We start from the raw sequence: 11,029 nt of genomic DNA, 5'->3' as shown, positions 1-11,029 counted from the left end.
GCGACTCCGGTAGATGGATATGAAATGTGAAGTACTCAGCATGTTGCTGGCCTGCAGCACGTGATCATCCACGTGAACCCCAGTAACAGTGACAATGGTCGTGCCGAGAGCCTCGCATGGGCTCTGGCGCCCAGCCGGCCCTCCTGGGTGTAGGTGGAGAGAACAGTGGCTGGTGTGCCCCGGGGAGGATGCCAACCGAGGGCCTGGGCTGGACGGGAAGGTACCCGGGGAGGCACTCCCAGCCTCCTGTTCAGGGGCCCCTTGGCCAAAGTCCCTCAGAGGCCAGCTCCTGTTAAGCCTGGGGAGCAGTTTTCTTTATACGGCTGTTCTGAGACTCAGCACATATGAGCTTTCTCCTGATGGTTCAAATTAGAAAGCAGCTGATGCATTCTAGAAAACCCAGGGAAAAACATTATTGTTGGAGGCCAGTCTTCTTGTTGGCAGAGCTGACTGCCCTGGCCTGGCATTCCAGAGAACAAAAACCTTCACTGGCAGAATCAGAGCCTTCCCGTCGGGGGCTCCCCTCCTCCCCTCCCTGTCTCCCTCTCACCCACCCGCCCTGGGCCTGACAAAGCACTGGCTGCCGTATGGGAGCCGGGACAAGATTCCTCTGGCTGTCCAGGCTCGTCCACCCCGGCAGCATGTTGGTGAACTGAAGTCTGACTCAACTCTTGGCCTGGCAAGGGCCTGGCTGTCTGGCGCAGGGCAAAGGTGGTGCCCTCTGGAGAAAGGAGGAGGCCAGTGGGGAGGGAAGAGGACCAGGAGGAAAGTGGCCACAGGCTGGCTGGACACTGAGCTCAGAAGAGGGGAGATGGTGTTACTGTTGCCATTTTACAGGTGAGGAAATTGAGGCTCAGAGAGGTGAGTGAAGTCACCTGCCCATAGTCACACAGCCAGAAAGTGGTGATGTGAGGCCTGGACCTCAGGCTGGCTCTGAGGCCCCCACGTTTCCTTTTCACACTGATAATGAGAGTCAAAGCACTTTGTGAACCAAAGGCATGGCGGAAACGTGCAGGATTTTATTTTTATTTATGTTTATTTTTTATTTTTTTGAGACAGTCTCACTCTGTCACCTAGGCTGGAGTCCAGTGGCGTGATATCAGATCACTGTAACCTCTGCTTCCCAGATTCAAGCAATTCTCCTGCCTCAGCCTCCCGAGCAGCTGGGATTGCAGGCGCTCGCCACCACTTCCGGTTAATTTTTTGTATTTTTAGTAGAGACAGGGTTTTACCATGTTGGCCAGGCTGGTCTTGAATTCCTGACCTCAAGAGATCCACCTGCCTTGGCTTCCCAAAGTGCTGGGATTACAGGCGTGAGCCATCATGCCCAGCCATGTGTGGGGTTTTAAAAATCTTTCTTATTGCTGTTTTTCTTACCTGGGTCTGCCCTTCCCCCACCCCTACCTCCCCAACCCGGAGTGGCCAGGGGAGGTGGGCAGAAGAAGATGCTGGCGAGGCCTCCCTTCCAGCCGGCCATCAGCCTTGTGTGGCTTCTGCTTGGTCACCAACATTTAGAGGCCTGTTGACTGGGGCTGCCTTATCTCTTGTCTCGAGGACAGCAGGCCCATACTCAGAGAAGCCCAGCTTCAGATGAGCAGTGGCGATTGGCAGGGTCTGCAATGCCCTGATAAAGCCTCTTTGGCACGGGAGGGGAGCAGGTGACGTCCCCTCACACCCTCCTCCTTCACACTTCCCTTACTGTCCTGGCTCCTGATGCTCCGTCCCCTTCCTCAGAAGGACAGACACTCCGAGCGCCCAGGCCACTGGAACTCAGGGGGTCCCAATCCCCAACAACCAGTCCCCATTCTAGGCAGCCCCCACTTAACTTGGGTGTGAGCCAGTCCTGGTTCTGAACCACAGCCACAGAATGGCTAAGGGGTGTGAGTGTCTCAGTTTCCTCACCCTGAAATGAGGCTATTCTTGTCTCCACCCCATGGGTTGTCCAATCCAGTCACGTAACATAAGGTTTTTGGTTTTTTGGTTTTTGAAACAGGGTCTCACTCTGTTGCCCAGGCTGGAGTGCAGTGGCACAATTATGGCTCACTGCAGCCTCAACCTCCTGGGCTCAAGTGATCCTCCCACCTTAGCCGCCTGAGTAGCTGGGATTACAGACCCATGCCACCACACCTGGCTAATTTTTAAAATTTTTTTGTAGAGTTGGGATCTTGTTATGTTGCCCAGGCTGGTCTTGAACTCCTGGACTCAAGCGATCCTCCTGCCTCGGCCTCCCAAAGTGCTGAGATTACAGGCATGAGCCTCCACACCCAGCCAGGTAACACATGTGTTGCATATCAGAGGCTGGCCTGTGGGTAAGTGCTCCATAAATGATCATGTTCCTCATTGATTTCCCCAACTGTGTGCCTTAGCCGTGCTGGTCCCCTCGTCTGGAATTCCTCTTCTTCTACCTTGGTCTTTTCAAACTGGCCCCTCTTTTAAGACTGAGTCTGAATCTCACCTTCTCCCCAAGGCCATCCCGACTTCCCTGGTCCCCATCACCTCCCTGGGTTTCCCTATCTTACAGCACTTGGAATCAACCCCTTCAGGGAATAAATGAAAGACTGGAGGGAGGTACTCTGAGGGGTTAACCAGGGCTACCCAGGGTAGTGAGCTATAAATGATCTTGGCTTTTCCTCCCGTTGTGTGTGTGTGTGTGTGTGTGTGTGTGTGCATAGAGGCACACACGCATGCACAGGTGAGTCCTACCTTTCTGCATTCTGCACAATTTACATCTGCAATTAGAAAAAAATTCCAAATAAATACTATGGTTAAGAAGGATCTGCTGCACTGGTTGACAGCTTCATGGAAAGGTGGAGCCTTTTTGTTTGTTTGTTTGTTTCTGTTTTTGTTTTTTTGAGACGGGGTTTCGCTCTTGTTGCCTAGACTGGAGTACAGTGGCATGATCTTGGCTCTCTGCAACCTCTTTCTCTTGGGTTCAAGTGATTCTCCTGCCTCAGCCTCCCGAGAAGCTGGGATTACAGGCATGCGCCACCACACCTGGCTGATTTTTGTATTTTTAGTAGAGACGGGGTTTCACCATGTTGGCCAGGCTGGTCTTGAACTCCTGACCTCAGATGATCCACCTGCCTCAGCCTCCCAAAGTGCTGAGATGACAGGCATGAGGCACCGTGCCCGACTTAGCCTTGAGTTTTTCACCACAGCATCAACTGTGACTGTCCAGGCAGCGGGTCTCACACCTGATCCCTGGTGGCCGCCTGCTCATCCTGAGGGATGGAGCTACAATTCAAACTCCATTGAATGTGATGATCACTGACTCACCAGCCTCAGTCCTGTCTGCTCCAGCCCCAGAGAACACCTACCACAAACCGTCTGAGGTTTCTGCAGCTTCCTTGTCCACGTTCCCATCTCAGAGGTTCAAGCTGCTTTCCATACCCTACCACACCTGCCCCAAAGACTCCCTGAGCCCTGGTCCTTCTTTGGTGCTTTGCTGGCTGCCTTGGGTTGCTAATTACCGCCTCCCTGCTACACTGTATGCTCCTTAAGAGCAGGGGATGCCTCCAACACCTCCCTGCCTCCTAGCTCCTGGCTTGGTGCCCAACTCATGGCAGTGCAGGTGGTCAGGGAGAAGCCGAGTACGGGAATCCTAAGAGTCACAACTCTGGTTATCATGACAATGACAGCAGCCGCCGTTTACTGAAAGCTGATGTTGAGCCTTTGTCTGCTCGACTCTTTACCTGGATTACATCATATAACCTTCTCCATGTCCCCTTGCAACTCAGAGACTAAGGTGCTATTGAATGAACCTTACAGTGGAGAAAAGGCCACCAGGAAAGGAGCGCGGGGAGCTCAGATGCTGCCTTTTCTTGCCTCAGTTTCCTCCTCTGTACAGGGCTCTGACATCTGCTCTCCTTTCCTCCTTCCAGGTGGCTGTGAGGGTCAAACAATACAGTGAGCACGTTGTCACATGCAAACATCAGCACAGATGCAGCATCTGGATTAAATGCCTACTGGAGGCCCCATCTAAGCCCAGCAACCTGGGGAGAAATGATAACTTCTTTTTTTTTTTTTGGAGATGGGGGTCTCACTCTGTTGCCCAGGCTAGAATACAGTGGCACAATCATGGCTCACTTCAGCCTGTACCTCCTAGGTTCAAGTAATCCTCCCACCTCAGCATCCCAAGTAGCTGGTACTACAGGTGCATGCTACCAAACCTGGCTAAATTCTTTCAATTTTTTTGCAGATATGAGGTTTTGCTACGTTGCCTAGGCTAGTCTTGAACTCCTCGACTCAAGCAATCCTCCTGCCTCAGCCTCCTAAAGTGCTGGGATTACAGGCATGCACCACTGCACCTGGCCAGAAATGGCAGAAATGGGAAATTTTTTTTTTTTTTTTTTTTTTTTTTTTTTTAGACAGAGTCTTGCTCTGTTGCCCAGGCTGGAGTGCAGTGGCGCAATCTTGGCTCACTGCAAGCTCTGCCTCACAGGTTCATGCCATTCTCCTGCCTCAGCCTCCCAAGTAGCTGGGACTACAGGCGCCCACCACCACGCCTGGCTAAATTTTTTTTTTTGTACTTTTAGTAGAGATGGGGTTTCATCGTGTTAGCCAGGATGGTCTTGATCTCTTGACCTCGTGATCTGCCCACCTCGGCCTCCCAAAGTGCTGGGATTACAGGCGTGAGCCACCGCACCCGGCCCAGAAATGGGAACTTTTAACTTGGACTTCCTGTTTACTCTTTAAGGATAATAGTGAAAGTGAAGACATTCGCCGCAGCCTTAGTTCTGTCTGAGAGGGTTTGGACACTGGGCAGGACAGTGCTGGCCCACCTACCCTGGAACCCCCATCCCCACTCCTCTCCTCCTCTCTCACCAGTTCCGACTACACCGGCCATCTTTCCATCCTAGTCGGATCCAAGCCTTTGCCCAGACTATGGAATTCCAGGCGCTTGGAACGCTCTCCACCCTCAGTTCCCTGATTCCTGCCATCCGCAAACTGCCACTGAGATGGCAGCTCTGAGGGGCAGCCTTCCCCACCCTGGGTTTAGGCAGACAGAGGCTTATCCCTCCTCCCCGGTGGCACTCATCTTTGCTCTAATGAAGCAATGAATTGCACAGTGATATCTGCCTTTCCTACCTGGCCAAAGCCTCCCTGGGGGCAGAAAGGGCACCATCCTGCTCTTGCTGTGTCCTAGGGCCAGACGCTTGGCAGGGCGCCCAGGTGGGTTTCAGCGAATGCTCACTAAGTGAGAGTGAATGAATGAATGCAGGAGAGAATACATGGATGTTCCATTCAGCCTCTCCCTCACCAAACGCAGCCCACACGCGCTGTGAGTCTGTCTGGGTGCGGTGGAGGATGCCACTTGGGATTACAATATTTGTAACTTGTGGTTTATGGGCTCTGGAACCAGATGGGGTCTGAATCTCTGCTCTGTTGCTCGTAGCTGTGTGATGTTGAGGAAGTTGCTCAACCTCTCTGTCTAGCTGCAGAACAATCTATTAGAGATAATAATAGCACCTCCCTTGCTGGTGCTATGGAAGTGGGGATTACATGAGGTAAAGGTTACAAGGAGAAGGATTGTAATTATTATTATTGTTGCTGGTAATGACTCAAAGGCTTCCTCCTCCCAATTAATATCTTTGTTTTTTAAGCACAGGAGCCAAGGTCCTCATGACAGGGTTGGAAAGGCCTGGGAGGGGAGCCAGGAGCCTGAGACCAGCTCAGCAGGTCCTGGCCGTGTGACCCAGAGGAAGTCACCCCATCTCGCCTGCTAACCAGATGACTAACAGCAGCAGCAATCATATTGCCTAATTTGCTACCTCACAGGAGTGTGGGAGAAGATCAAACAGAGAAATGAATGAGAAGCATTCTTTCCACAAATATTTGTTGAACACCTACTGTGCTCGAGGCTTGTGGAGGACCAAGCGGGGAACAAGCTGGCATAATCCTTCTCCCTAGGAATGTACAGTCAACAGGGAAGCCAGAAATGAAGGGATTGCTACAAAGTGTGCAAGTGCCTCCCTCTGCTGAGGATTGGGGCACATGATGGCAGAGGCATCTCTGCAAATCCTGACAATCTCACAGGTCATCCCTGCTTTGCCTCCTTTGAGTCTTCATTTATGAAATGGACTGGGTTTTTGTTGTTGTTGTTGTTTTAGATGGTGTCTCGCTCTGTTGCCCAGGCTGGAGTGCAGTGGCGTGATCTCGGCTCACTGCAACCTCCGCCTCCCGGGTTCAAGCAATTCTCCTGCTTCAGCCTCCCGAGTAGTTGGGATTACAGGTGTATGCCACCACACCTGGCTAATTTTTGTATTTTTAGTAGAGACGGGGTTTCACCATGTTTGCCAGGCTGGTCTCGAACTCCTGACCTCAGGTGATCCGCCCACCTTGGCCTCTCAAAGTGCTGGGATTATAAGGCGTGAGCCACTGAGCCCAGCCTGGACTGTTTTTTGTTTTTGAGACAGGGTCTCACTCTGTTGCCTGGGCTGGAGTGCAGTGCTGTGATCATGGCTCACGGTAGCCTCGAACTCCTGGGCTCAGGTGATCCTCCCACCTCAGCCTCCTGAGTAGCTGGCACTACAGGAGCACACCACCACCACCATGCCCCGCTAATTTTTAATTTTTTACAGACAGGGTCTCACTATGTTGCCCAGCCTGGTCTTGAACTCCTGGGCTCAAGCAATCCTGCCTCAGCCTCTCAAAGTGCTGGGATTACAGGGGTGAGCCACTGCACCTGGCCTTGAAATGGACTTTGAAGTGAGCATCAAGATATACCTTCCTCACGACGCTGGTGTAAGGATTGAGCTCATGCATGTGAAAGGGCTTAGCACCGAGCCAGACACCTCTAAGACATCGCTGGATGGCGGTGATTGTTCATGCGCGACCTTGCCACTGGGCACCTGGGGATGCAGGCATGACATTGTCCTTCAAAGAGACAGGGATGAGGAGCATGTGTCTGGCACCTGGAGATCACATTCCCTTCCTCCCTCAGGGCCTATATTTGCCCACACATACACGATTGCGTGGGGACGTTAAAAGGTTCGAAAGCAGATATTCCAAACTGGTAACAGGGTGAGAAATGAGGGTAATTATGAGCCCAGTCATCTACTTTTATGTTTTATCTTTTATATATTGTTTGAACAATAGATCACTTTTTGTTTTTCTTTATTACGGTAAAATACGCGTGACATTAAATGTTCCATTTGAACCATTTTTAAGTGTATGGTTCGGTGGCATTAAGTACGTTCCCAATGTTGCAACCGCTACCACCACCTTCCCCAGTGAAACTCTGTCCCCATTAAACACTAACTCTCCCTTTCCCCTTCCCCAGCCCCTGGCAACATTTATTCTACTTTCTGTCTCTACAAATTTGACTCGTATAAGTGCAATCACACAGTATTTGTCCTTTTGTGTCTGGCTTATTTCACTTAACATAATATCCTCAAGTTCACTCACATGGGAGCATATATCAGAATTTCATTCCTTTTGAATCTAATATTCAATAGATTACTTTTGCCATTGGAAAAAAAAATCATAAAGATTGGAAAAACACAACCATAAAAAGAATGACTGTGCGAATGACTGAAGGAGGAAGAGATGAATAAATGCTCGGGGTCTTCCAGGCATGCCTGCAACTCCGTGGATTTCAGACGGGGTGCATCAGTGGGTCAGCTGGGGTGATGCCGGGGGCAGGCTCCTGTGAATCAGCCGTAGGTCTCCTCTATTACAAGAGAGGGGAGTCAGGCCTCCCACCAGGGCTCTGGTCCCACTGTCCCAGGGACAGCGGAAAATGAAGAAACTCAGCTGAGGGCTGTGAGTCACAGCCGCTGAGGCTGGACGGGGGCCCCACGCCTGGCCCCTGTGGCCCCAGCCATTCAACCTGGGCAGTGAGCGGCACAGAATTCCCGGTCCCCTTCTGATAACAGCCCAGCTCCCCGGGCTCTGGGGACAACCCAGTTGGCCCGGTGAGTAAGGAGGCTCTGGACAATCCCTCCTTTCATAAAGCTCCGCTGCTGACTAATGCCTCCCAGTCACGCCGGCCCTTCCACCTTCCGCCCCAAAACCAATCCCTGCCCAGAGCCAGCCCCTGAGGGCTTTGATTCCTCAAAGCGGAGGAACCTGCTGTCCTCCGCACCCATTTTACCTTCCTGCTGCTGCCCTCATGTTCTGCCCCCACCTACCTCCAGGCTTTGCCTTGGAGACCTCTCTCCTCCTCCTCCTCCTCTCCGCATGTCAACCCTGAGCCCTCCCAAACTCTCTGGGCCTTGCTGTCAAGCCTCAGACCATTCCTGTGATCATCAAATCTTTGCCAAGGGTCTTCTTGTATACCCTCCCCTCCCACTTATCCTCAGTCTTTTTTTGTTTTTGAGACGGAGGCTTGTTCTGTCACCCAGGCTGGAGTCCAGTGGCGTGATTTCGGCTCACTGCAGCCTCCACCTCCTGGGTTCAAGCGATTCTCCCACCTCAGCCTCCTGAATAGCTGGGACTACAGGTGCCCAATGCCACCTGGCTAATTTTTTAATTTTTAGTAAAGACGGGGTTTCACCATATTAGCCAAACTGATCTCGAACTCCTGACCTCAGGTGGCCTCCCAAAGTGCTGGGATTACAGACTTCAGCCACCGTGCCTGGCCATCCTCAGTCTTTTCCATCAGGAAGGAATGGCTAGCCACCTGAGGCTGGGGTCACCTGAGAGATGACTCCAATGAGGGGATTTCAGGCACTCGGGCAGGGCACTGAGGTGCTGTTACTGAGCGTGCATGCAGGGACATCTTGAGCTGCCTCTAGCTCCTTTGAGGCACACAGGAAGCCTTGTGGGGGTTTGAATTCTGACTCTACCACTGACTAGCTGGGTGACCATGGCCAGGTAACTTAACCTCGCTGAGCCTCAATTTCTATACCTGTTTCTAAAAAGTGGGAGGGGGTAGGGATAATAATCTCTCCCTTCCAGAATGGACATGAAGCACCTTCCAGAGAGCCTGCTAACTCAGCCTGCACGGAAGGTCACAGTCAACAGGGGGGCTCAGAAAAATGGGGTTGAGATGCCTTGGGGAGGCCTTGGCCAAGGAGAGTGTGACAAGTCAGGGCAGAATCGAGTCCCTCTGACTCCTCGGCATGTGCAGTGGCTGAGAAATGGCCTCTTGGTTCCCAGAGTTGATGGGAGGGTGGATGACATTCTTTCAGTCACTGTATGAGTGTAGGCGCCTGTGCTCCTGGAGATGGGCCTAGTTTGGAGGGTACAGGACGTCGGTTGAGGAAAAAAAACATCGCTGTTTGGTTCTGGAAGAGAATCTCTCCCTTTTTTGGGGGCGGTGGGCAGTGAGGGAAGTGAGAGAGAAAGGGCCATGGCTAGCTTCTCTCACTCGTGAGGCCTAACGGAGGCGAATGGGGAAACGACTTGGTGTGATCCAAGAGGAAGCTTGGAAAACCGGGGAAAGCTCCGGCCTGGGAGCTGAGAACCACGGTCCTCTTTCCGGGCCCAGCTGGGCCTCCTACCGGCCACGTGGCCGGGGGTGAGTCACAGCCTCTGAGCGACATGACCCTTATCTGCAAAAGGAGGTGGAGAGATGTGAGGACTTCCAAGGCCATTTCCAGCTCTAAGATTCTGTAACGCTGCAGCCATCTCTTTAAAGATGACAAGCAGAGATGCTGAGCTGAAACAGATGTGGTGGATAAAGCCAAAATAATCAGCTCAGTGGTTTTTCTCTCTCCAGTGCCCTGCGTCAGCGAAGCCTTGGGTGAATCTGGCATTTGCTCATTTTGATAGGTAATCAAGGCAACATCTGGGGGCCTGAGCTTCCGGAAGAGGGGCTGATCAAACAGTTCCTACCCTTAGCCCTTCCTCCTTCCTGAACAGCGTGCATGTGATGTGGACCTCCTGAATCCACACGGTCCAGGCTGGCTCCTGCACTGAGCATTTCTTAAACGCGATTTCTTTGCTCATTCTCCAGACCTTCCACAGTCAGCCAGAGTCTGGGGATGCTCATTTGCTAAAGAACTATTTATTTTGCATCTCCCCAGTGCCTGGCACCAAAATAAAAGATTCTGGGGCCCTTGTGTCAGAGGGAATTCTCACGCAGCCTTGGTGCATGAGATAACTATGCTTCCCATAGGAAGGGAGAGAGATGAGAAGGTGACCTTATATCCACAGGGCAGAGCCCTAAGTGGGCAAGGAAGTTTCTGGATGGCGGGGTGGGCAGCACAGACTCTGGAAAGGTGGGAGGAAAAAGGAACCCGGATGGGGAGATTACAGGAACTGAGGCAGTGAGGCAGAAAAATATGGTGTGTTCAGTGGGCAGTGAGGTGACACATTTAGGCAGCACGCAGCTCTCGGAGTTTGATTTCATTTTAAAGGAACCCCATTCCCCTAATTTCCATCATAGACCTAGTTTGTTTCCTCCCCCACACTGCTCATCTGTAATCACACACTCACTTTTCTTTTTTGAGACAGAGTCTCGCTCTGTCGTCCAGGCTGGAGTGCAATGGCGCAATCTCGGCTCACTGCAACCTCCGCCTCTCGAGTTCAAGCGATTCTCCTGTCTCAGCCTCCTGAGTAGCTGGGATTACAGGTGCCCACCATCATGGCTGGCTAATTTTTGTATTTTTAGTAGAGACGGGGTTTCACCATATTGGCCAGGCTGGTCTCGAACTCCTGACCTTGTGATCCATCCGCCTTGGCCTCCCAAAGTGCTGGGATTACAGGCGTGAGCGCACTCACTTTTTAATTATCTGAACCTCTCTCCAGAAAGGAAACTCCCTGGGGAAGGACTATCATCATCTTCTTCACTACTGTCTACTCAGTGCCCAGACACAGCCCCGCACAGAGAAGACACCAGAAAAGATTGTCGGCCTGCACAAAGGCATCTGAGTAGGAGAGAGACAGAATCAAAGCAGTGTTTCAGGGCCTGGTGCAGTGGCTCACGCCTGTAATCCCAGTGCTTTGGGAGGCTGAGGCGGGAGGATCGCTTGAGCCCAGGAGTTGGAAGCTGCAGTGAGCTGTGAGCGTGCCACTGCACTCCAGCCTGGGTGACAGAGCAAGACCCTGTCTCTAAAAGAAAAAAAAAACGAAAAACAAAAAA

At 52.0% G+C, this 11,029-nt stretch overlaps 3 annotated features.

Annotated features, from left to right (window-relative positions):
* Window positions 1,299-1,944: a transcriptional cis regulatory region, noted in NCBI's record as "candidate enhancer chr22.1257 targeted for multiplex CRISPR interference". NCBI's record gives its function as "positively regulates LIMK2 gene expression with high confidence in K562 cells {active_cell/tissue: K562}" and the evidence as "EXISTENCE:mutant phenotype evidence [ECO:0000015][PMID:30612741]".
* Window positions 3,414-3,948: an enhancer, noted in NCBI's record as "H3K27ac hESC enhancer chr22:30610529-30611063 (GRCh37/hg19 assembly coordinates)". NCBI's record gives its function as "activates a minimal SCP1, AML or CMV promoter by ChIP-STARR-seq in naive H9 embryonic stem cells {active_cell/tissue: H9 hESC(naive)}" and the evidence as "EXISTENCE:reporter gene assay evidence [ECO:0000049][PMID:30033119]".
* Window positions 5,674-5,968: an enhancer, noted in NCBI's record as "tiled region #10236; HepG2 Activating DNase matched - State 5:Enh". NCBI's record gives its function as "activates a minimal TATA promoter and a strong SV40 promoter by Sharpr-MPRA in HepG2 cells {active_cell/tissue: HepG2}" and the evidence as "EXISTENCE:reporter gene assay evidence [ECO:0000049][PMID:27701403]".

Source organism: Homo sapiens, chromosome 22 (assembly GCF_000001405.40).
Source record: "Homo sapiens chromosome 22, GRCh38.p14 Primary Assembly".
Taxonomy (NCBI): Eukaryota; Metazoa; Chordata; class Mammalia; order Primates; family Hominidae; genus Homo; species Homo sapiens.
Note: the sequence above shows the minus strand (reverse complement) of the source record. Positions and strands in the feature narration are given on the sequence as shown.